This window comes from Homo sapiens, chromosome 5 (assembly GCF_000001405.40).
Source record: "Homo sapiens chromosome 5, GRCh38.p14 Primary Assembly".
NCBI classification, from domain to species: domain Eukaryota; kingdom Metazoa; phylum Chordata; class Mammalia; order Primates; family Hominidae; genus Homo; species Homo sapiens.
The window spans coordinates 73,775,154-73,802,383 of record NC_000005.10 but is presented as its reverse complement, the minus strand read 5'-3'; the positions used below and the strand labels follow the sequence as shown (position 1 = coordinate 73,802,383).

Sequence of the window (27,230 nt, the reverse complement as noted above, 5' to 3'; positions counted from 1 at the left end):
TGCCAAGCATCAGGCATCCTCATAATGCCCTTAAGACATCAGTGTAAATATCAACCCACTCCCTTCATCCCATTCTGTACACTTCAAAGTCCAACAAATGACCCTGTGACAGCAAATTACAGTCACTTGATTCTTCTTAATGTTCAAAAATAATTAACTTTTAAAGGTTTAATCATCTCATAAATTGAAGTGGTTAGGAAATTCTTTCAACACTTTTTCCCCCCAAAGTTTGCCTATTTCCCACAGATCTGTGATCTCACTGGTGATAATCATTGAAAATCTGTGAACCTAATACAAATGGACTTTCATTAATACCTTTTGTAATCAGTTGAGATAAAAGTAGAACTCCATTTCTCTAATTCCCAAAACTACTGAAAACCTAGTACGTTAGGGGTGATTTCAGCATTGCTGAGCTCCCTCAGGGATCTCTGACCGTGATTCTCAACCTTGGTTTTGAAACCTCAACAACCACAGTAAGAAAATTTCCTTGAACAAAAAGAATAAAATTTGAGTTGGAATTTATACAAATAACTTTGCCTTCCCAGTGGTCTTCTTGGGATATTTCACTGTCTCCAGCCCCTTTACTTCAAAATGATTCACTGGGAAGCTTTAGTTTGTGGTAAAGAGATAACCCCCCAACTCCCCAAAAAAAGAGAAAAGAAAAAAAGAAAGGACTACACAGAAGCTCTGTAGCCTGGGGTGTAGAGAGAGATCTGCCAAAAATTAGGATTGAAAACGTATTTTTCAGAAGAGTTCTGCTAAGGTCCCCCCCTCCCATGTTTCACGAAACATTCTTGCGGTTTCAGTCTAGATACACATGTGTTATTAAATAACAGCCAAGAGGGTCAGCTTCCACTCACAGGGGTCACAGCTTCTAAGATGCCATGCTTAAGATCCTCTTCATTTATTTTTTATTTTTTTATTTTTTTTATTTTTTGAGATGGAGTCTCGCTCTGTTGCCCAGGCTGGAGTGCAGTGGTGCGATCTCGGCTCACTGCAAGCTCTGCCTCCCGGGTTCACGCCATTCTCCTGCCTCAGCCTCCCAAGTAGCTGGGATTACAGGCGCCTACCACCACGCCTGGCTAATTTTTTTGTAGTTTTAGTAGAGACCGGGTTTCACCATGTTAGCCAGGATGGTCTCGATCTCCCGACCTCGTGATCCGCCTGCCTCGGCCTCCCAAAGTGCTGGGATTACAGGCGTGAGCCCCCGCGCCCGGCCAAGATCCTCTTTAAAAACATCTCAAAACGTTCTTTTCCACAGGCGACTTACAAGTGCTACTTTATAATAGCACTTTTAGTTAATATAAGAACTTTTGGTTAATATAAGAAGAGAAACTAACCTAATTAGTTCTATTATCTGGTTGTTTGCCAAACTAGCACTTATTGACTGCACCATTTCCCCCCAGCTCACCACTAGCACATGTAGGCCTGCACTCTCCCAGTATGCCCACAAATGGAGATCCTGAAAACCTGTATTACGTACCACCTAACATTCTGTTTAGGAGGACTGTTTCTTTGGTTCTTCCAGTCATTTCCTACCAGTTCCCTTTTCCCAATGTTTTTCCTTTCAGGGGACTTTCGGGGTGGGGAGGCTTTGTTTCTCTCTCGGTCTTGTCTACAGTCATGAAAGATCTGTGTCTTCTTGGTAAAGAAATCTGAACCTCATATCCTATTGTTTGTTTCTGCTTCCTTCTTTTCCCAACTGGCCTCTAGACGGGTTTTTTCTTTCTTTTTTCTGTTTTGTTTTGTTTTTTTTGGTATGAAGTTGGGTTTCCTTCCATATCCAGCTTTGGTTCATCTGTCCTCAATGCCCTCCCTCCCAGTCCCAACACCCACCAAAAGGTTGTCTTTTCCTCATCTTACATATTAGTAACAAACAATAATAGCAATGAAGTAACCCGAAGTATTAAAGAATAGCTGTGATTTGAGCCCCTACATGTACTGATCAGGTCACTCTATAAAATCAACAATACATATTATAAAAAGGGGGTTTGGAGGGAAATAAATACTTGTGCATAGGATCTACATTTTCCCTTTCGTCTTATAGAAGTAATCCACATGCTTTATTAAAACATAAACAAACAAAAACAAACATACAACATCATTTTAAGTTACTTTCTATAATGGAGCTTACTTATGGAATATGTCAAATGAATAACACAGGACACGAATTATCTTGTTTTCATGATCACAGCTACGTAAAAAAGAAATGCATGCATGAGAAAAAATGCTGGTAGGAAATATACCCAAATTTAATAGTAACTGCCTTTGGGTGGGGATATTATAGGGATTTCTTTTTCTACTCTTTCTAAAATTCCCAATTTTTCTATTGTGAACATTTATTATTTCTATAATTATAGAAGACTAACATAATTTTTTTCCAAGAGGCTTACTTTGCAAGATACTATGCTTAATATCTTCTCTTGCACTTGCGCCAAGCCCACTCTCTACCAGCCAGACCTGGAAGAGTAGATGAGGCAGCGCTTCATGCCTAGAGCTTCAAAGTACTGAGACTCTCCAAGCAGAAAGGAGGATGCCAGCCAGTGCTATCCTCATGTCCCCTATCACCTATAGGGAGTGTCTCTATCTCCCTATCACCTTCCCTCATAGGGAAAGTCAAAACATGCTCACACAGTTCTTGTTTTGACATGTCAGTTTCACCAACCCTTCATTTTTTCCATCCAAATAGTCATAAGATATTCAGCTTTGGCCAAATAAATTTCATGTCCTCTTTAATCTAATGCAGACCATGAGTGATATATTATTGCAGGAAAATCAGCTTCAGTATGAGTGTCACCACATCTGGTCTGTCACCCACAACCTCACTCACACTTTGACATATTATTCGATGAAAGAACAGGAGCATCATGTTCCAGGAGCTTCTGTAATTCCCCCTGAGACACTGGCATTATGGTTTCACAGTCCTCAAGGAGGAACTTAACATTTAACTGGATATCTTAATTTCTAACCAAAGCCACATAGCTTTATTTTTTCAGATTCAACCTCTTAAAAGTAGAGTTTGCAAGATAGTGTCTAATCAAGCCATTCGCAGCTTTGCTGATTCAGTGATGGTTTATGCATCTTTGTTTGCAATTGGGATTCCAGTTTTACAGCTGAGACTCCCCATCTACTCCATTTCCCACAGGCTGTCCACTTGTTCCTGCAAGATGTTCACTCCCCTTCTCCTTGGCACAACATTTGCTGCTGCCCAAAGGGTCCATTTGGCTCAAGTAAATGGCATTAAATATGATTAAGAAATAGGATCAAAACTTTAAGCAGTTCCTATTTGTTTTTGAGATGGAGTCTCGCTCTGTTGCTCAGGCTGGAGTGCAATGAACGGTGCGATCTTGGCTCACTGCAACCTCTGCCTCCCAGGTTCAAGCCATTGTCCTGCCTCAGCCCCCCAAGTAGCAGGACTGCAGGCATGCGCCACCACGCCTGGCTAATTTGGTATTTTTAGTAGAAACAGGGTTTCACCATGTTGGCCAGCCTGGTCTCAAACTCCTGACCTCAAGTGTTCCACCCACCTTGGCCTCCCAAAGTGCTGGGATTCCATGCATGAGCCACCACGCCTGGCCAGATCCTATTTCTTAATCACGTTTAGTGCCATTTACTTGAGCCAAGTAGACCCTTTTTTTCTTATTTTTGGTATTGACCCATTTCATTTCATCTACCTTCTTTTCTTCTGTTTCCTTCAAATGCTTTGCCATTTTTCCCCATCCTACCTGCCTAGAATATGAAGGAGTCCCACTCTGCACTATGATAGCAACAGAAGCAGATCTTAGCCCTTCAACTGATGATTCTCCCCTTCGACAAAATGCCGACCCCTTACAGCATCTGCAGAGAATGGGGCCATAAGTCCTGCATTAGACATAGATGTCAGCTCCTTGCGGAGCTGGTTCTGGGGCACCGGCTTGGATGAGCTTGCCAGTTGTTACTCACCCAAGACATTTCTCCAACCATCATTTTCAGCTTATAAACTAATGGTAAGTGTTAATTCTTGATGCCCTGAAAGGTCAATAAAACATTACAAAGGATGGGTACAAAAAAAAATGGAAAGAATGAATAAGACCTACTATTTGATAGCACAATAGAGTGACTATACTCAACCTAATCTGTACATTTTAAAATAACTTAAAGAGTGTAACTGGATTGTTTGTAAACTCAAAAGATACATACTTGAAGGGATGGATACTCCATTCCCCATGATGTGCTTATTTCATATTGCATGCCTGTACCAAAACATCTCACGTACCCTAAAAATATATACATCTCCAATGTACCACAACAACTTAAAAAAAATAGAAAACAATAAATGCATAAAACACTTCTAGAAGGAGAAAGAAAACACCACCACAAAGGGAACTTACTCTGTTCTGCCCTGTCCAATACAATAAAATTAGATAATTAAAAATCCGATTCCTCAGTCACATGTCACATGCTCAATAGACGTAGGTGGCCACAGGCTACTACACTGGATAGAACAGCTATAAAATGTGTCCATCAGCACAGAGGGTGCCACTGGAACAGCACTTGTGTCACTGATGAGGCCACATCCACACCACACAATTCTGAATAATACAAGTCAGCAAAGACTTACATATCTATTTATCAGCATTTATCATGTGTTTATCCCACACCATTTATCAGCATTTCCTCAGAGACTGGGCAGAATAAAGCACTTATAAAATAACAAAAGAGGCCAGATGTGGTGCCTCATGACTGTAATCCCAGCACTTTAGGAGGCCGAGGCTGGCAGATCACTTGAGGTCAGGAGTTTGAAGGCGAAACCCCGACTCTACTAAAAATACAAAAATTACCTGGGCATGGTGATGGGTGCCTGTAATCCCAGCTACTCGGCAGGCTGAGGCAGGGGAATTGCTTGAACCCAGGAGGCAGAAGTTGCAGTGAGCCAAGATGGCGCCACTGCATGCCAGCCTGGCTAACAGAGCAAAACTCCATCTCAAAAAATAAAAAATAACAGATAACAAATAACAAAAGAGTGTTGAAGTGGCCTCCAGGGAGAGCCCATTTCCTATTCCAGACTGTGTCTGACCATCTGACTATTGCTCACAGCTTGCTGTCCCCTTCTCTCTCAGGTTCTTTGAAAATCTGTTATAATTTCCTTTGCAAAAACTCAGGGGACTTTATTAATTCAAAAAGTTTAAATGAACCAAAAAGAAAATGCTAGCACAACAAACACTCATCATGGTCCTTTTCATAAATCACTGGACTAAAGTTGTGCTCATTTATCTTTCTCAAATCCTTCACAGACTTAATGATGTTACTGACAAAACACTCAGACGAGGTCAGACTACTACAATTTCCGTAGCACATGCTTCTTGCTCACAAGTTTACAAGTTTGAAACTAGAGTGAGTTTTTAAAACCTGAAATTAAGATCGTCTCAGTGTTTAATACTTTTAGTAGCCTACCTCCCTCCCCCAGCAATTCATCTTAGCAAACATTCTTCAAAGCTAACATTCCCAGGAGCATGATGCAATTTGTAGCTGAGACATCCTGTGTGCGTGAGTAACAGCAATGGCCCTGACATCAGTGGCCCACAACAGCCATCTATACAGAGATGTTTGCTCTCTTTTTGCCTTCCTCTTCCCCTCTTCTGTAAGTAAATCATTACTCTTACCTTAAATAGCAAAAATATTAAGGACGTGTATATTGCTTAGTGTGGGTCTAAATTTCTGTTCCAATTTCAGTAGGGCCACATGCAGCAAGATCCTGGAAACCACCTCTGGCATGTGGCCAAGCTACTAGCAACACCATCAACCAACACCAAGGGTGCTTCCTCCTTGCTCTGCTCTACACAGCATGATTTCCGAATGGTTGTAACTGCTCTGTCGTGTGTTGGCACAGCATACCAACCACACTCCCTCAGCCTCCAGGGAGCCCCATGCACGTGTAGGCTCACGGTGACCCCGTGGGTTACCCACCTTCTCCATTAATCTCACTCTGAGCATTGATTTAGCTTTTCCTGATTTCACATCAGCTTGAGCCCTCAGTCACTACCATCAGCAACACCTCACCCCTTGCAACTTCTAAGACTGTCCTGCCCATGTGTGCCTTCCAGGTGTGTGAGATGCCTCAGCTTCACAGAACCAGAGGAAACCAACTGGAGTGGTTCGTGCTCATCTGCCTCTCACTTGTCAGCCCCAGAGGTCTTCACAGACATCCAGGTGCCCAAACTCAGCCTCTGCTGATAGCTCAGCCTGTATCTTCAAACACCCCATTAGCTTCATTATGCTCTATTCACCTCTAAGTAACTCAAGAGATAGGGCTGGGGTCCAAATTAGCCTTGAAGAAATAGAGAGTACCTGGGAGGAGATTTAGGAAGGGGTCCTCAGGGAGTTGTGAAACAGAATATTGTAATCAGATGAGAATTCCCAGGTCAGAGGGAGGAAATACCTCTACCTTGCCAAGGGTGGAGGAACACCTGGTTCCTCTGAAAGGACACTCACATCAGACTCAAATCCCAGAACAAACATCTGGTCTTTTCCTGAGCTCAGCAGTGTAGATCACATAGGCTCAGCTCCAAGGGGACCCCACTGGGCATCAAAATGGGATTTTGGTAAGCTTGGAGATTCTAGGGCCAGGTGGAATGAAGTTATGAGTCTCGGTTCCACCATCTACTCTCCACCAGTGCTTCAACTGCTTCACCTGAACCTGAGACTGGTAGTGCCTACTTCACAGAAATAACAAGGGAACATATGACAAGTCCAGAGCCAGCTTCTGGCTCAGAGTAAAACTGTTCAGGAAAAGCTTTGATTGCCTTGTTTTTTAGATTGTAAATGGAGTCTCAACCTCTAGAGTCATAGTATTACAAATGATCCTACAAATAAAATTTATCTGGATGCGTTTCAGGAAATAGATAAGGTTACCAGGAAGGAATATTTTATGTTAAAATTTACTTGCTTCTTGTCCACTCTAAACCTGGATCTGGGATGCCCCTACGAGTATAGGTAAAAGCGTTATTTCATACCCAAATCTAGGCTGTGCTGGTCTTCATGTTCATTGTGTTGAACCACCAGGCTTTTGACACGCTGGAAGAGATAAAGTCAGGTGGATTTTTAAAAAATTACATATATGCTACACTAATGTTTATTTTTGTGAACTAGAAAAACAACCTTGGAAAGCATCAATGAAAACATGTTACAAGTATCATCACATGTAAACAGAAAACTAGTCTTATACTTAATATTATTTAACAGCTAAAAGTGAGTAATGAATCTATCCCAAGCTGAAACACACCTGAAAGCTGTACACAGGTTATTTTATTCTCAGAGGACATCTCCCACATTTACTCTTGTAATCACATTGTTGTCAAATATCTATAAACATCAAACTTCAAGTAGAAATTTGTTTTGCAGAATGTATTCAATCATCTTGCATATACAACTACAACTCAGAAAGATAGCTAGGTTTGGTTATAAAGAATAGGGATTAAGAATTTGATAAAGAAAATGGGGCTGGGCACGGTGGCTCATGCCTGTAATCCCAGCACTTGGGGAGACCGAGGCGGGCAGATCACCTGAGGTCACGAGTTCGAGACCACCTTGGCCAACATGGCAAAACCCCATCTCTACTAGAAATACAAAAATTAGCCAGACGTGGTGGTGGGCGCCTATAGTCCCAGCTACTCAGGAGGGTGAGGCAGGAGAATCATTTGAACCCAGGAGGCAGAAGTTGCAGTGAGCCAAGATCGTGCCACTGTACTCCAGCCTGGGTGACAGAGCGAGGCTCCATCTCAAAAAAAAAAAAAAAAGAAAGAAAAAGAAAACAGAATTTCACATTATTCTGAAAGTGACTTGGGGCACATCCTTTTTTTAGTGTTTTTTAAACATTTTTATTACCACTAAATCTTCATTTCTACTTTATGGAAAGACGTGCAAAGAAAGAAGCAGGGAGTCATTCATTACCTTTATATCTTCCTTTTCAGCTGCTGATCTGCTGGACACTGAATTCTTAATCTCTGCAAAAGAAATAATTATCAGGATCTGCTGATGGGAGCTTTTGTTAAGAAGAACAACAACTACTAGCTGACAAGTGTAAATGAGTTGCCCAGGAGCCTTCTGCACAGAGATAGGTTTTTAGATTAGGCCTCTTAAAAATCAGCTCTCCACAGAGCAGAGTGTCTAATAACCCGACTGTCCATACTCTGGTATTATCTGTGTGGACTAAGATGGAAACAAGCCCAGGAGCTCTCACAGGAAATCCTGAAGGGGAAAAAATTATCATTAAATAAATAAATGCCCTTGATTCCAAAGGAAGGCTGCTCACTACCGCAAGTTCTTCAAAATAGCAGATTGTAAGGACGTGACTCGTACCCACCTGAGGAAATCCCACATGTCTATTTCCTCAAATACCACAGATTTCAATATGTTTTAAAAGAGCGTAATTCATTATATAAGAGGTCTGGCTTTTCCTTACACATCACTGAAGGTCAAGAACACCAGCATAGCCCTCAGCTCCAACCTCAGCCCCGGGCACACCGGGTGTCCTCTTTCTGAATAAAGGGTTTCCTGGAAACAGTAGTGGTCAGGATGTACTGGGATGAAGAAAAAAAAAAAAAAAAGGTTCACCCAAGGCAGCATTTTTATCTGTGGTTTAATTGATTGGTTCTGTTCCCAAATACTCAGTTGCCCTTAAACAAGAGCCGCTATTGTCGAAATAACCACCAAGAACAGGTTTGGGCCTGGGGAAAATTAAAGCACTCGATATCCCTAGCAAGGACATATGACTGAAAGTCTCTACCCCAGATTTGCATTAACATACAACATTGTGGGGTCTCACTCCTTTTCTGGAATCTCCACATCCCTTCCCCCACAGCCCTGCTTTATGCTAATCCTGGGGAAACGCCTGAAGTTTTCCAGCAGGTTCATTACCTAGACCTTCCCTATTCCGTTTTGTCACTCCTATTAATTTATCTAATGCCCCAAATCTGCAGGTGGATTTATTCAAGCTCTTCTCACTTCTGGGCAACAATGCTAGGAGTTATCATCCATGTTTATGCTTAGAAAATGTATAAGGTATTCATTTATATGGCTCTACATGACAAATCATAATAAAGATGACAAATTACAAGGATGGAGCTATAAGTAATAAGATCAGGATGGAGCAGAGAAACCAACAATCCTTGTCTTGTGTTTCTAAAAATCTGGACAACAATAACTTTGAATTTGCTTTGCAGAAAGCAAGTAATACTACATTTGCATGCCACAATAGTATATTGCTCTTGAATTTATAATGCATATTAGCTTCTATGATTAAACCAACAAGGAAATAACCAGCGAACAAAGTAATAACCCCAATTTTGTGTGGTCATGTCAACTGATCTCAGCAGGGAATGAGGACAAGATCATAGTGGACACCCAGCCCAGGCAGCTTGTGTACACAGCATCCCTGCCGGCCTTTAAATGCACATCCCACAGAAGGCCTCCAGGTGGCAGCAGAGTAACATTGCCAGAGGTAGGAATGTCAAAATGGGCTAATTTCACCCTTCAAGGACCTGCTTTCAAGTGCCAAAGTCCAAAACACATAGTTAAAATTAGCATTTTTGTCCCACTACATAGATGCAGAAAATTGATGTGAAGCACCTACCATGGTATTTGGCACATTATAAGTGTACAGTAGGGATTTGGTTTGGTTTTGAAACTCATATACTCAAACACTAAAAATTGGGATAAGTAGGAAAGAAACCACAAAGGCGTTAAAAAAAAAAAAAAAAAAAAGAAGGGAAGGATAACCTGGACCAGAGTTTCAACAGACACATCTGCACAGACATCAAGAGTCACACCCTTTTACTTTGCCTGTTTTAGGACATTCATTCCTTTAAAGTCATCTCAGCCATAAACTCTTAAATGATCATTATATTGCATTCCTAAAGAATTCTGTACATACAGCATTTATTCGGAAGAACAGTACACATTTTATCCAGATTGCTAATGGAAAAGGCAATCTCATCTGTTAGTGAAGTTTGCAGTTACAGAGGATGTGTTCACACCTGGTAGTGCATTTAGGTTCCAGCTTCCTTTCCCTTCTCAAAAGGCCAGTGAACTAGTTTTTATAGCTTGCCATGCCTACGTTTTTCCGTGTAGTCCAGTGCAATTTTTTTCACTTCAGAACAAGTACCACAAACTATATTAAAATATATGTCTTCATTAAAAATTGTACCTCATCATTTAAAAAATAACTTAAATGTAGAAAGTCTTTATCCAAAAATCATTTAAAAATATTAGTGATACTGTGCTGATTCCAGATAATAATGTATCTTTAATTAACCTAGAACTAAACAGAACCATATCTTAGAGCTTTCAAAGAATTTGGCATTCATTCTAATGGATTAATTAAATTGCTCTAGGAGAGTTTCTGTTAAATTAGTAGGATCCTTTTACACTAACCCACTGTACCACCAATTACACAGTGCAATCAAACCACTCATTGCTATAGCAACCTTTAGCAGATAATGGTATCAGTAACTCTACCTATTCTGTTTTAAAGGCCTATTAATCTTGCCCTCAAGCCCACCCAGAAGTAAGGATTACTCCTCTAAATCAGACTTGCCAAACTTGATAAACATGGTTTTTGTTATTGCCAAACTATAATGGAACAAGAGATAATCTCTAAGACTTATGTTTACTAGTGACACTGCACCAGTGAACAGGGTTAAGTCGCTGTAAGATTCATGCCAGTGTCTCATTAAGAAACAGATTCGCCTAAAAAACTCACCTCTATGCACATGTCTTACTGTCTTATTTTGCAAATGAGACCACAGAGTCTAGACTTAAGCAAATAAAAAAGCTTACAACCAAAAACACAGGATGCTCAGTATTCTGATTTTAATCACCATTTGGATGTGGCAGAAGAATCGTGGTCAGACGCAGCCAGACCACCAGTGTTGTCTTGTTAACAACCAAGTCCACCACTGGCTTACATCTACAGGGTAGTGTCAAAAGCACAGGTGGAAAACCAGGATCATGCTCTCAGTTTGCTCTGCCTGCCCCCACAAATGTCAGAAAAACACCCTGATGGTAGTGTTCATAGCAGCCTCTGTGCCTCTCTGGCATACATGGTGGGTAGTTCATAGTCTTTGAATGAATCTTTTTTTCTCAATAGGCTGTAAATTCTGGGAGAGCTGGGACCAGATCGATTTCCGCTCAACCCTTGTATCCCCAGCACCAAGCTGGGTGCTTTGCACTTAACAGGTGCTGAATAAATGCTTCTCATCTCCACCTACATCTGGTGGCCCAAAATATACATAGCTGACAAGATGTGGTGGATGGTTAGACAAGCTGTGGATCAGGACAGAGAAGGAAAAGTTGTTTACTTTTTAGAATTAACTAATTGAAACACTTCCAATACTGGCGCTATTTTATCACAACTTCTGAACTGCCAGATTCATAGACAGATGAATCCTTTTCTCCTTACTTCCTCCCACCCTTCCAGCTCTGTAAGTCCAAAAGCCAACCCTTTTCCTCTCCACTTAGTAAGTATTGCTGTTTCACTACTAACTACTGCACCTGCATGTGTTGCTACAATGTTTTATCCTAGTGTACAAATTCAATTCACAATGGCCAGAGAATTAAAATGGCAAAGGCACTTGAGAGACTACTTGCCACTCTTAATTCAGAGACTGTTGTCACACTTTGAAAGTTTGTTTCAATATCCCAGTTATTCCTTTTTTTTTTTTTTTCCTAAAAGTGGGACTACTAATAAGAACTTTCATTTTGCCTGCTCGGTATAAATATGGACTGGGAGCAACAATGAGGCACTTATTTACAGAAATATCAAAATGAGACTTATCAGTGAGTGAGAGCCCAACATTCCACTCAATTCAACAAGCTCCACTGGTCCCTACTGAGCAGCAGCTGGGGAGAAGAAACCAAGATGGAAGAAATCCTTGGCCTCAAGCAACTCCAAAATGTGCTCCTTGGCATATCATTTTTATATTTCTATTCTATATTGTTTCAGAAAGAATTTAAGACATCTTCTTTAAAATACAGGTTTTTTTTCATTTAAATTACTTGTGTTTCTTTTTTTAAAGACAAAAGTAATTATTTAAGACAGTGGAGAAGTCCCTCCTCTTACACAGTTTTTTTTGTCTGGAGGTTAACATATGATCCAATTCTGGCCAGAGTCTTAATAGAAACTTTCCTGGCACCTCTCCAAAAAAGGCTTCTATCACTAATAGAAAAAAAAAAAGTTGCAGGGCAAAAGGATCTTTTTCCATTGCTCTTTTTGTCTGAATAGAGTTCAATGAAGAAATGATTTTGGAGCCACAGTAGCCCTCTTGCAACACCAGACTGCTGCAGGCCATTCTCCATGGTGTGCCTACTCTTACTGTGAAAACTTTTCTACCGGATTATCTTTTGAAGGATGGTTTTGTGGCCAACAGTCTTGAAACCGAGAAATAGTGTTTCCCCTGGGGATGAAGGCAGATTTGTTTTCAGACCAGGGTAGTAAAGATAACAGCCTCTTCCAGTGCAAGGGTTGGGCAGGCTTGCTAGCAGTCTCCTTATAAGATTTGGGATTTCTTAGTTTGGGGTTCCTCAGCTGTGACACAAACTGAGTGTGTGTGCAGCATCTATCTGAGCTGCTCACAAGGCTCCTGGGGGACTTGCTGGGCAAGGAGAACCAATGTGAACATGAAGCCCATGCTGCAATAAAGTCTTTTGTATCAAAAAAATAAATAAAATAAATAAAAACTTGGAAAAAAAACTAAACAAAAAAATCAATATAACTACCATTAAATGTTGGTATATACTCCCCCATATATGTTTTTATGACAGCTTTATTAAGGTATAATTCATATACTATACAATTCACCCATTTAGAGTATACACTTCAATGGGTTTTAGTATATTGAGTTCTGCAACCATCACCATAATCAATTTTAGGATATTTTCATCACTCCAATGAGAAAACCCCACACGCATTAGCAATCGCTCCACATTTCTCCCCAACCACCTCACCATCCTCCTTCCACACCCCAGCCCAAGGCAACCACTAATCTATTTTCAGTCTCAACAGAATTGCCTATTCTGGATATTTCATATAAATTGAATTGCACAATATGTAGTCTTTTGAAACTGGATTCATGTAGCATAATGTTTTCAAGATTCACCCATGCCGTAGCATGTATTAGTACTTCATTCCTCTTTACTGCCAAATAGTATTCCATTAGATAGATAGGTAGATAGATAGATAGGAGGTATCTACTTTGTTTTGTTTATCTATTCCTCAGCTGATGGATATCTGAGTTGTTTCCACTTTTTGTCTATTATTAATAATGCTGCAATGAACATTCTTTCAAGTAAAAGTTTTTGTGTAGATACATGTTTTCATTACTCTTAAGTATATGCCTAGGAGTATAATTGTTGAATCATATAACTCCATGTTTGATAAATTTTTATGATACAGATTTTTACATCTCCTGAACCCCCACCCCTGCCCACCATAGAAATCTCTAAAGCAAAGAATTCAATTATGGAGAGAAAGTATCCTCAGCCCCAAAATTTGGTTGCAATTATCAATTACACAGAAGCTCTAAATCATTATACAGTTGATCCTTAAACAAGACGGGTTTGAACTGCATGAGTCCACTTTTATATGGATTATTTCCAATAAATATATTGGTAATTTTTTTGGAGATTTTTTGACAATTTGATAAAACACGCAGACAAACCACCCTTTCCTAATCCTCCTGCTCCTCAGCCTACTCAATGTGAAGACAACAAGGATGAAGACCTTTGTGGTGGTCCAGTTCCACTTAATAAATGGTAAATGTATTTTATCTTCCTTATGATTTTATTAAGAACATTTTTTTCTCTAGCTTACCTTATTATACGAATATAGTATATAATACATGTAACATACAAAATATATATTAATCAATGGTTTATGTTATTGACAAGGCTTCTGGTCATCAGTGGGCTATGAGTAGTTAAGCTTGAGGAGTGTCAAAGTTACACATGAATTTTTGACTGTGCAGGGGATTGGTGCCCCTAATCTGAGTTTTTCAAGGGTTAACTGCATTTTTAAATTGAAGCCAGGGCATAATTTTCCTAAGTTAATCAATGGCTTGAATAAAATTAAGCAAGTCATCTTTCAAAGACATAAACAAAATTCCATTTTTACCAAACTTAGATTCTACTTTAACTCAAGAAAGAAACTAACCTTTAGCTATATTTTCAAGTAAAGATCACTGCAATTCTATTAGAATACTTAGTTGAGTTTAATACTTTTTTTTCTCTCTAGGCTGCTTATCTGACTCAGCTAGAATAAAGTATCTCAGATATGAGCCAAATGTGTTGCATCTAGGTGAGCTCTGGGGAACCTCTGAGTTTTGAGCTCAAACATACAGTGGGTTTAACCAGATGATCTCTAAAGTTCTTTCCAAGTCAAACTATGATTCTTTAATCCTTTGATAAACTAAGTGGTGAGGAGAATTTTTATTTCTGTGTGAGAAAATACTGATTTTTTATAATAATATACAAAATGAGTATCATATCATCATGATATCCTATCCATATCATGGTCCCTTTAATGATGGAGACTGTTCTTTCCTGTGACAAGGAGAAGAAAGAGGACTGGCAAAGTCAGTCACTAAAGGAAATACAGAAAAGGCTGAATTGCTCTGTAAAATGCAGCCATAAAAAAGAGTATGAGTTCATGTCCTTTGCAGGGACATGGATGAAGCTGGAAACCATCATTCTCAGCAAACTAACACAGGAACAGAAAACCAAACACCACAAGTTCTCACTCGTAAGTGGGAGTTGAATAAAGTGGACACAGGGAGGGGAACGTTACACACCAGGGTCTGTCAGAGGGTAGGGGGTAGGGGATGGATAGCATTAGAAGAAATACCTAATGTAGATGACGGGTTGAGGGGTGCAGCAAACCACCATGGCACGTGTATACCTATGTAACAAACCTGCACGTTCTGCACATGTATCCCAGAACTTAATAATAATGATAATAATACTAAATGAAAGCAACAGTTACAAATCATTTCCTAGGGCTGCGTATGATTTTTGTTGAAAATGCCAAAAATACCCTACTTCTAGGAAAACAATATTTTCAAGTGCTTGACCAGATATTTCACATGAGAGTCAAGGTAGAGCTGTGTATGCAAGTGAATGATCAGCTCTGCAGAACGGCCTGCCTAGTACTGCTGTCTTAAGTCCCCAACACCCAGGTCCCAGCTGTCCTGGCTTAAAGGACCTATATCTTGATATCTAAACCATCTGCAACAGTTCTCCTAAAAAGCCCTTGAGCTAGAGTGTCTCAAATGAAAAATCTTGGAAACAACACTTTGTGTGGATAAGAGCCCTATTGTTTTCCCAGTAATATCTCACAGGAGATATTCAAATAAGGAAAATCCACCACACAACTCTCTCTACATTTCACAAACCAAATCACAGAGGGAAGTGCTGCACCCTTGTCTACAGAATGTTCAAGCAAAAATCTGCTCACTTCTAGTCACCACGACACGAATGGCTGGGTCCTGGTATCTCAAAACACGTATCTTTACCATTGAATCCACCATAGGCGTGTGTTATATAACTTGCACTCATGATTAGACATCATTCAGTAAACATCCACTATGTTCAATACTGGGCAAGGTGCTTTATCTGTATTTTCCCACTGAAGTAAGTATTAAATGACACCGCCACCTCCACCCCACCCCATCATTTTCCACAAAAGCAAACAGCCTAATCACTTGCATTATGCTCAAAAGCCAGTTCACGGCAGAGCTGAGGATTTTAGCAAAGTCAGCTTATTACTGGCATGTGTCATCGAGACATGTCTGTGCCTGCGGGTCATAAGGACTTGAGAGAGATGAACCATTTGGAATAGAGCTCATTTCAAGGCAATGTTTCCAATGTTTGCGCTTTTTCTATCCCCCAAATGCTGAGAGAACTCTAGACGAGCAGTCCAGACGCTAAATAGATCAGTCCTCTGCTCTATAGGGGTAGTGGGAGTCTATAGTGTGGTCGGTAAGGGAGTGGACTGATCACCTGAGTTCTGACGGCTTGGGCCAGTGTCACCTCAGGTAAGTTACATAACTTTTCTGTGCTGCCACTTTCTCATGCATAAAGTGCGTAGGATTGACTCCTGACTCCCAGAAATGCCCCTCCCGATGACCATAGGTATGAGTGCTCCATGAGTGTATAGACTTAACTCAGGTTGTGACCAGTGCCTAGAACAATGCCTGGCACGTAGCAGGTGCTAACAAATGCTTGAGTGAAATTAAATGCAAGCAAACTACTTGAGGGCAAGGTTTTTTCTCTTTGCCTTTTTTTTTTTTTTTTTTTTGGTTACTGCCAAGAACAGTGGCTGGTATAAAGTGATGGGCAGTCAATACATATTTACTGAATGGATGGATATGGAAATGGGCCTAAGGACACGTGTCCACCTGTCCAGCCTGAATCTTGCATTTGGACCAACAGCCTCTTCTGCCTCCCACACAGAATCACAAAGGGGAAGCCACTTTGAGCCGGTGAGAGCGGCTGCCTCCACCCTGAAGGAAATGATTTTGCCCTCTCTTCTTGGTGATTGTAACACATGTTCCAATCCCTATTTCCTTGTCAATGAAAATGTGGAAGATAATTTATGGGGAGAAGCCAACAAAGTAACAAATGAGTGACACCAAGTTAAGACAGTTAGCAAATGCAGAGCGTTTTTGAACTACAAAATAATTTTTTAAGCGGATTCATACAGTGGCAAATGGTACTGTAGTTGTTCTCAGGTTGCGTTATAGCCCAGTAGATGCCAGGCAGGCAATAGCCTCCCATGTGATATCAAGAATTGAAGTGGGATGTCGAGGGAGGCATGAATGATCTGGAATATTCAAGATCACTGTGAACAGTTTGAAAAATTCTTTCTTGCACTTCTCTGGTGTGCGCATTACTGGACTAACAGATGGCGGGAACCCAGGTGATAGTGAAAATGGAGGACATAAGATCCAGAGAGGGAGGTGCCACAGAGTTGAGGAAGAACAACATTTTCAAAGTACCTTTCACAGACGGTTTCTATGAGAGGTTGAGAACTGCGAAAAAAGGACTCTCGTGTGATCCATTAATTTAGAGAACTGCTAAGTTAAACAAGATTATATAGGTTTCTTGACTTACTAGAGCCCACAAAACATTAAATGCATTCCAAATCTCAAAAGTGGGAGTTTCATATACAGTAGCCCCTGCCATCAGGGATTTCATGTTCTATGGTTTTGATTACCTGCCGTTGACTTCGGTCCAAAAATACTAAATAGAAAATTCCAGAAATAATTCCTACATTTTTTTAAATTGCAGACCATTCTTGAGTAGTATGATGAAATCTCATGATATCTCACTCCTTCCCACCAGGAAAGTGAATTATTTCATTGTCCAGTGTCCTTATGCTGCCTATGCTACCTGCCCATTAGTCTCTCAGTAGCTCTTAGTTATCAGATCAACGGTTTCAGTATGGCAGTGCTTATGTCCAAGTAACCTTATTTTACTTACTAATGACCCCAAAGCACAAGAGTAGTGATACTTGCATATTGTTATAATTGTTCTACTTTATTATTAATTATCATTGTTAACCTTTACTATGCCTAATTTATAAATTAAACTTTATCATAGGTGTGTATGTATAGAAAAAAACATAGTATATATAAGGTTCAGTGTTATCCAGGGTTGCAGGTATCCACTAGAGATCTTGGAACTTATCCCCCAAAGATAAGAGGGAACTACTGTACAGCATTTTCTACTTATTTGGCCAAAGAATCCTTATTTTTCAAAATAGCTTCCAAGATCAGTGTTCTGTACAATGCTCTTTAGGAAATCCTAGGACAGAGAGATCAAACAAGGATAAGAAGGCAAGGGGAAAATATGGAGCCAGGTTTTTTATTAATACTAATAATTAGCTTATTAATAGGAGCATATTAAAATAAGAAGACTTTTTGGCCATTCATTTGAAATAATGTGCCATTATTCTGGGAGTACAACTAGAATCATAAAACTATAGAAACATAACTGGATCGTAGGCAATAATAAAACCATTTATCACACTCACAGAGACAGCAAAGTTAATGTCCAGGCTAGAATTATTATAGTCTTTTAATTAATAGCAGCTACAGATATAAGCTTAGAGTTTCCCCCCTACTACACATTGTCCCAGAGGGGACAGAAAAGCATAATCTACTAAGAATCTTCTAATAGATTTTAAAGAGGAAGTTTGCTTTAGGGTTTGTTTGGTTTTTTTTTTTTAAGAGGAAGCTCTTATGCTCAAAATGTTTTGTTCTTTCAGTTGAGTCTCCTCCAGACTCATGAATGGACAAAAACTAATTGAATGTTTCCACTTTAGTTGAATATTGCCCTCTGCTGGAATATGCATACAGTTTCTAGTACTCTTTCAAGGGTAGACAAATACAAAAGCATTGTCTAGATTCAAGGGCTCTAAAGTATACCCATTAATTATTTGGAGTCAGAGGGCTTGGATTTCTGTCCAAATTCTTGTGCTTATTGGTTAATTTCAGTCAAACTGGCAGCCACGTATATTAACTTGGCTGCCCCAAACACCTGTCAAATTCAACTTGTCTAAAACTGAACGTATATTTTGTCACAATTCTGCTTCCTGGAAGGCCCATCCCACCCAGTGCTACACCCCAGGAATGGAGACACCGTCCTTCTCCCTTACCACTGACAGCCAATCAGATCCTACACTTTCAGGACCTCACTCATGTGTCCTCAACTCTCCCATCTTGTCACACTGCTGTAGGGCAGATTCTCTTCTGCGTTGCTTTCAGCAGCCCCATGGCTGGTCCCCATCTTCCACTAGGCCTCTCCCATCCATTCCCCATACTCCCACCAAAGTGAACTTTACAGAGCTGTCAGGGTAGAATTCTAACAACTTGCTTCACGTACAGCCATGCCAATCTGCCTACTTCTTAAGCCTATGTTCTTGGCATCACTGCCACCACCATACAGAAGCGCGCACACACACACATACACACACACACACACACACACACACACACACACACACACTATATTCCAGGGCTTCAAAATGAGCTGCATTTTCCCCAGTACGTCATTTGGCTCAGGACTTTGTATTGCATGTAGAATTCCCTTCCCTCCATTAGATCACAGCTCCAGGGCCACTTCTTCCAGGAAGCTTTCCCTGACTGCTCCACTGTCACAGTCTACAGCATGCTAATACACAGAGCTACTTGCAAATAACTCCTGTAGCAATTATCACACTGTGCCATGAGAGCTTGTTTTTCTGCCCCAACCTCAAACTGTAAGCCCCTTAAGAACAACTTGGAATTAAAATACTCCTTTAGACCTCAGTGTTCTAAATTAATTTGAAGGTAGAATACAAGAGAGGAAAAATTTGCAAGAGGATTTTTTAAAATCAGAAGTTGATTTTAAAAAAGAAAAAGTAAGGGCAGAGGCTTAAATAAGCAACAAGGTAATATAAAAAATGCAGTCAGCATTGCCATAGGCCCTTGTAATCAAGTGCCCAGAAACTTAGCTCCAAGTTTATCAGAAAGCTAGAAGTAAGAAACTTGATCGGCTACAGGTACAGCAGTAAAAGTGAGCTGAGCCAGGCACTCAGGTGAAGCTGTGTTCCCAATACAAAACCAGAAAGAGCTTTCTCCTACAGGTCTTCAAGGAGAAAGCACAAAGTGCCCACCACCTTCTTGGGCAGCAGGGTAAAGAGTGGCTCCGTCAACACAGCCAGTAGCGAGTGTCACCCACAGGGGAGAATAGTAAAGGCAATTCCCTTGGGCTCCAAGAAGGTGCAGTCTGAGGAGGAGGCTCAGCTGCTCGGGCTTAACCCAGGAACATATGCAGTCGGGATGGGCCACACAGACTCAGCAACTCACCAGAAATATGCCTTCTCTAACACTAGTTTTTTTAATCTTGTTTTGTTTTGTTTTGTTTTGTTTTTTGAGATGGAGTCTCACTGTGTCACCCAGGCTGGAATGCAGTGGCGCAATCTCAGCTCACTGCAACCTCGCCTCCCAGGTTCAAGCAATTCTCTTGTCTCAGCCTCCCGAGTAGCTGGCATTACAGGTGCACACCACCACACCTGGCTAATTTTTGTATTTTTAGTAAAGACGGGGTTTCGCCATGTTGGTCAGGCTGGTCTCGAACCCCCGACCTCAGGTGATCCACCCACCTCGGCCTCCCAAAGTGCTGGGATTACAGGTGTGAGCCACCGTGCCCAGCCAAGACTACTTTTTTTTTTTTTTTTAACAAACATGCAGGTAAAGAGTTTAAGATCATAGTATCTGACAAATACCTAGAATCCAACTCTTCTGTGAGGCCAGTTAAAAGCAGAATCAAAAGTATTGACCAGCTATTAACATTGGTGGCTTAGGAACAAGCGCCTTGTCATATTTTTCCTCCCTAGCCCCAGCATCAAGCTTGGTGGTTCTCAACCCTATCAGACCTATGCCCTTTACATTAACAGGTATTTTGTGTTGCTTCCTTCACTATCTTGAAATTGAGTTAGTAGATCACATAACTCTACCCCCTAGATACATATAACCTTATCTTCATGTCTAATTAAAAATAAAAATCAATATAATATCCTAACTAAAATATGAAGCAAATGGAGAGTAACTGATAAGAAGATAATATGTATTTCAATGCATAAAACCTTTACCCTAAATACCCTAGGAGACGCAATAATGTGGTTAGATTTTTGCAACCACCGGGTTTTGAAAACACAAAATCAGGATCTGTTCCAGACAAGAAATACAGGAATATGCAAAAATATGCTTCCTAGAATGAAAACTTCTGTTTATTACCATAACTTACTAAAAGACCAAAATTAATTTGCATATGGAAAAGCAGAAGTAACCTCAAATGAAGTAAGAATTGCATGCATAGATAAACTGTCAAGTTGAGGAAAATGAGGAATGATGATGTTCCTGCATATGAGCTAGGTATTATGCACAAGTGGGGCATCAGAATGATTCCATGTGGCATGTTGTGGAATAGAGTAGGAACAATGTATTATAAAAAATATATCTTCTTTTATGAACTTCCACCACAAGCAGAATCACACATGCCGTCTCTGAATCACCATCAGGACTGTAAACAGCTGTACAGGACGACTCTTAGTTGCATAGGGCTGTTCTGTATCTTGATGAACATCCAGCAGCCCTGATGCCTCAATTCTAAATGCCAGTGGTGTCCCCCGACCCTCGTGATGACAAAAACTCCTTCATGACTTCCAGAGTATCCTTGCTTAGCAAAAAGTAGGAGATCCACAAAGGTGGAAGAAACTAAAGAACAAATGATAGAATGAAGGACTCAATGAATGAACAAGCTGAATGAGGAGAACAATCAGAATGTCAAGAGAGCATCCTGAAGATCAGGAATGCGAGAGGACCTGGCCCAGGTCCCGGCAAACAGCACTCAGGACATTCCAGTTAAATGGAGAGTGGAAACAAACAGTATACTTCATTTGATGCTGTCCGAGGACCCAGGGGCTTTGCTGTATCCCACACCCCTGATCTTGCCTCTGAGCCCCTTGATTCCTGGCCGGCTTCACCACACACTTCAACGGACTGGTTAGATTGTTGGTCCAGAGCACTCTGTGGCTGCCATAAGTGGGAAAGGAGCATGCGTACCTTCTTCAGTTTCTGCACCGCTGGAGGGCATAGCTGTTCTTTCCTCTGGCCTGGCTTCTGGCTCAAAGGCCTAGGAAACAATGGGGAAAAAAAAAACAAAAAAGCACAGAAAACCATTTGAGGTTCCAGATATACAACAAAGAGGCAAAAGTCACTATCAATGATCTCAGAGCTAGGAGGTTGGGAAATAGAGGGTGGGTGAAAGCCGCTGGGAGAACATATAGCCAGCACCCCAGCAGGAGGGCGAGCAAAGTCAGGAGAAACTCCAAGGCAGGGGCCAAAGTCCCTGCCACTAATCTTTTATTGCTTCTGCAGGTCACACCAAGCAGAAGGTTCTCAGGAATATCATGCATGTACCAGAAAGAGAACCGAAAATCTTGACGCCAGAAAGAAGGGCTTCTGGCCTGTGCATCTGCCACCTGGAGCAGACCAAATCCACATCCTAAGACACAGGAATCTCAGAGGACCAGGTGAGGGGCTAGGACCGTGATCACAAGGAAGATCCAGGATGACCATGGGCCCTGAGCTGCAGGTTGGCACACGCTGGTGCAGGCTGGCCCTGGGTGAAACTAAGTTGATGAGCCTTCCAAAAGGCTTTAGCGAAAAGTTGCCCTCTTGGGACCATCCGAATTTCCTTTTGACAGATTCCCCACAGCCAGTGAAAATGTGAAGAAACACAGAATTATGCATTGATGTGCTGAATAGTAAGCCAGCCCAAGACACCCCCAGCACAGGTTCTAAAATCAATCATCAGTATACTTGGGCAGGTAATCACATAACTGACATAGGTCCCTTATCCCCTTGGGCGTGTCATTAAGCCCCGTGGATTGGGTGCTTCATTCTTTGACTACTTAGGAACAATGCCCTGCAGCTGGAGTAAAAGGAATATAAAAATATATACAATTTAGCAAACCACAAACAGGCAGGGAGCAACAAGTGCCTGGTTGCCCACCCCCCATGGGCTGTAAATTCACCCCAGCCCCACTTCCAGGACACTGTGTTCTCTTCTAAGGCCCACCATGGAATGAGTGGCTGGACCAGGGCAGGTCCATATTAAGGGGTAGTGATGAGATGGCCACATAAGCACCCAAGGATGGAGGAGGGGTCACCACACAGGCTCAAGGTCTAAGACAGCCAGCCACCTGCCCCATGTGTCTACTTGGGCTGAACCTTAGCCCTGACCCCCCGTCTTTCAATGAAGAGAGTGAGAGTCGCCAAGGCTATGTGAGAAAAGAACATCAAGGCAATGCTGGTTTCTGATTACACAACAAAACTTGAAATAAGGAAACGCTATTTTCTCTTGAAAATAGAATATATTCAAACTTAATTTTTATCCTTATAAGTAATTTTGAATATACCTTGAAAAACTTAAATTTCCTAGCTGCTTATTAATTTTAGCCAAGCTGTGGAGTGAAATTATCAGCATTTGGATTGTTATGAGGAAATAACTAAAAAGTGATTAAAAGATACGGCTACGAGTTTGCCTATTATTTAATTTCCTAATATTCTGTCTTTACAGTTTGGATATTTAGCACCACCTTCCATTTTAACATTTAATATTTATTAGAAACTGTCAGGCCATCACTGTCAATTGAAATGTAGTGCGAAAGTATGAACCCTTTACAACTCTGAAAGTATGGCTTCTGACTGGGTTCACCTGGAGAGCTCTTATATATTGTAAAGCAAACTCAGGTTTCCACAGCAAGGTTTTACTGTCATTGTTCTACAGGACTACAGATAACTAAGCAATGCCCAAACCCGGAGACTAAACATGTCCCCTTGGAGAAGACTGAGTATGGGCTGTAGTTCAGTGAGTACAGATCAGTCACTCAAATCAAAGTCACCATCTATAGCTGTCATATAAAAACAGACTTTTAGATAAGATTCAATAAAGCAGGAATACTTTTTATACAAAATCTATATGTAATCTCATAATATTTATCATCCAAAGTTGTAAAGCTTCAGTGTGGACAACCTATAAAATAATTACCACCTGCTTATATTTAAAATAATATCTAACCAAGTAATATGCATCACAAAAAATTTAGATAAGAATACAATAGAATCCCTTTGTCAGGCAAGTAAGAATTAAGGTCTTCGGAAGCCATAAAGAATCTCTCAGCCCTTCCTTCTCGGTCTCTCTGCTCACATCAGCCATACACCTCAAGAAAGGAAGGAAAAAGAGGGATGTGGAAACTTGGAACATAAGGCCATTCCACTCTAACTGATTCTTGTATCAAGTGTTTTTCATAAGATGAAAATCTCATAGAAACTGGAGAGCCATCTCCATTTGGCCTTTGTGATTATAAAGTCCACTCCAATAAATTATTGAGGTATCTAGATTTACTCATCATAAATCTTCCCCAAGGTCATCAGTATTATCTCAAATGTATATGAGAAATCACAAATCTAGCCTAAGACTTTAGAAGATTTTATAATGAAGCAAATGTTCAATAGAGTTTGTTCTGTTCTTTTCAGGATAGTCACCAAGTGCCATGCCGCTGTCTGAGCATCTCTTCTGAGGAAAAGCACTTGGCTGAGCTCTGCCCCCATGGAACTGATGCTGGCAAAACCAAGCGTCTGCCCAGCCAGAATAACCACCACTTGGTGCTTTGGTGAGAAACCACAGTGATGGCTGAAGGCTTGAGTAGCATTTTTTTTTTTTTTTTAGACGGAGTCTCGCTCTGTCACCAGGCTGGAGCGCAGTGGTGCGATCTCGGCTCACCGCAACCTCCGCCTCCCGGGTTCAAGCAATTCTCCTGCCTCAGCCTCCCAAGTAGCTAGGACTACAGGCGCATGCCACTGCGCCCAGCTAATTTTTGTATTTTTAGTAGAGACGATGTTTCACCATGTTGGCCAGGATGGTCTCGATCTCCTGACCTCATGATCCACCCACCTCGGCTACCCAAAGTGCCAAAGTGCCAGGATTACAGGTGTGAGCCACCACGCCCAGCCAGCTTGAGCAGTTTTAAATGACAAGCATCCTTAAAAGAAGACCCTCATTCTGTATATACTGGATGTGATGCTGTATGTCAGAAAATTACACACCAAATTCCCTAAAACCCAGCAAAGAGAGAAAGATCATACTCTGAAGACCATGTTTTATTTTAACTGATTAAATAAAACTCTATATGGAGTAAGCCAATAATAATCTTTGTTTGATACATAATGTTTTTGGCTAACTCATTATTTCAATTATGTGAAGCAAATATTCTACAAAAGCTGAAACTGTGGCCAATGATAATATTGGTTTTCTAAGCTGACTTTTTACTCTGTAAAGCCTAAATAGTCACGAGACCTGTGTCTTGTGAAGGAATGTGCTTGAGAACACAGGAGGCCATAGGATCTGGTTAGTGTGTTCAATAGACCCCGGAGCACTGCCAACTAGATTGACTCAAGCCTTATTCAAGCCTTACTCAAAATAACACCTTGATTAATCATAATTAAAAGATGGAAATATTCTTAATATTCTTTCAAAGTCTACCAAAAAAAAAAAGAGAGATAAAGTTGAAATGTTTTAAACCCTGAGACTGGCATGCTATGATAGCACCCAAAGGTGGGGTTTGGACCATGATGGGAAGGTGAAAACCTCTTTGGAAAAGAACTAGGATTTTACCTGTTTCCATTCAAGCAGAATCTGTACTGGATTCTGTACTGGATTCTGCACTGGAACAAATGCTTAACTACATTTGAGCAATATGATAATCCAGAAGTAGATATTATACATGTAAGATAGCCCTAAATGTAACTGCTTTAGATAATAATTATAATACAATCAATAAATTAATGAAAATATCCAATATTAAAGTATTAAAACCCAACTATGGAAAAGACTGGCTCAGAAAAGAAAATGAAAATATTATACAAACTCCTATAAAATATATAATAATCTTCATTCTACTGATCTAATGCAGTTTCCAATTTCATGTCCCCCAAGGTTTCATTAAAAAAAGTCCTACCCCCAAAAAACACTGTTCTCATAATAAGAAATTGATGCCTGCATTCTCTGAAGCATGCATTATCACATGCTAGAATCACTATGTACAAACCTTGACAAGAAAGGCTCTATCCCAAAAGTATTTCCGGAAGAGTTTAATATCTGCCTCCAACAAATGCTCGGCTGTGTGGTTCAGGGTCAGGGTCAGCGTTTCCGATGAGTGAATGTAATGCAAGGAGGCTTCTTCACTGAGCTGCACTCGGGAGAAGCTTGGGGACCATCTGCCCTGAAAACTGAAACAACACAAATCAAAACCCACACAGAGCTTCAAAGACACCAGCCCCAGGATCCCAGCCCTTAGGATCACTGCCCCTGATCTTACAAATCCAACTGGCAAAATGATCCTTGAAAGTCACCTACGTGCAATAAATACATAAGATCATAAAAACAGATACTAATAAAGCCATCTTTCTTTTTCCACCTAGAGAAGAAGTCTATTGGAAACCATTGACATATACTACATACTTTAAAGGTTTACATAAAGAATGAAACAGTACTGAATTTTAAACATAGTACTTTACCTCAACATTTCATTCTCCTTTTAATCTGAAAAGATGCCTCTCACTTTAATGGGGCTACCTGTAGTAGAACAAATTAGCTGGCAGCCAGTGGTTTATTAGGTGATTACTGTGGAAAACAGATATGATCTCCAGGGAACATGGTGAGGTTTGGATGTCATAAATAAGTGAGATATTCATAACACATGGTACCACTGTTGTAAATTCTTTCTTATGCAAATTAAAACATGCACAAATTTGATCATGTTGTATTTCTGAACACACTCACACACAAAGGAACGACATTTCCAACCTAAATGTTGTGTTGATTCAAATTATGTGTTTTTTGGAGAGTCATGTATATTCAAGACTTGAATATACACTTATTTTCTGTTATATCTTGGCTGAGAACATTTGTACATTTGTAAATTACATTCAGGCTTCATGGTTAGTATCGCAATATTCTGGATGGCTTATAAGGTCCTGTAATAGTAACAGTAAAGAAACCTCAAGGGGAAATATTAATGTTCTTGGGTTACAGCATACCTCAGCATGTCACATCCCACCAGATTGTTCCCAGATTCCTCAATTCACAGAACTAGCTCTATGCCCCTTTCCTCTTTTAACATGACCTAATTTTGTTAATGAATGTTTGCTTTACAAAAATATAGTATATTTCCAATGAAGGAAATGTTATCTCCATCAGATGGAGTGACAAAAAGAGATCCTTAAAGAACAGTTTTACTCTAAGTCTTGGGGGACCTCTCCAAACTCTTGACACTCATTACTGGCAAGGACTCCAGAAGTTTCCAGAAAACAACTCCCCATGCCAATAACAAGCCACTGAGATGAATGGTCTCTGAACCTGAGCAATAAGGTCACTGTTGTTAATTTAGAATATGGAAGCTCTATCATCATATCACCAGAATTTAGCTTACACTCTACTTCTAATCCCATCCATGAATGGATTTATTAGACCTGGAAACATTTAAAACACGTATCTTCTCGTCTTGGACACAGTAAAAAGATACAAAGCTACCAACAGATGAAGTGTGCCTCTAGGACCTCAGTAGAACACAGAATTGTTCACGATGAATG

General features: G+C 40.5%; 1 protein-coding gene across 4 annotated transcripts in view, besides 1 other annotated feature; it reads right to left on the bottom strand.

The window, feature by feature from the left end:
• ARHGEF28 (Rho guanine nucleotide exchange factor 28) overlaps positions 1–27,230 on the bottom strand; it is a 315,795-nt gene that overhangs the window by 139,607 nt on the left and 148,958 nt on the right. For all 4 annotated transcript variants that reach the window (NM_001080479.3, NM_001177693.2, NM_001388076.1 and 1 more), the window contains 4 exons: positions 25,688–25,868; positions 21,639–21,708; positions 7,930–7,982; positions 6,993–7,053 (listed from right to left, as the gene is read on the bottom strand). In NM_001080479.3, the coding sequence (NP_001073948.2) occupies positions 6,993–7,053; positions 7,930–7,982; positions 21,639–21,708; positions 25,688–25,868 (365 nt within the window). The remainder of the gene's footprint in view (positions 1–6,992; positions 7,054–7,929; positions 7,983–21,638; positions 21,709–25,687; positions 25,869–27,230) is intronic.
• Positions 5,144–6,343: an enhancer, noted in NCBI's record as "BRD4-independent group 4 enhancer chr5:73091866-73093065 (GRCh37/hg19 assembly coordinates)". NCBI's record gives its function as "activates an origin of replication core promoter dependent on BRD2, P300/CBP, MED14 and CDK7 cofactors, and independent of BRD4, by STARR-seq in HCT116 cells {active_cell/tissue: HCT116}" and the evidence as "EXISTENCE:reporter gene assay evidence [ECO:0000049][PMID:35650434]".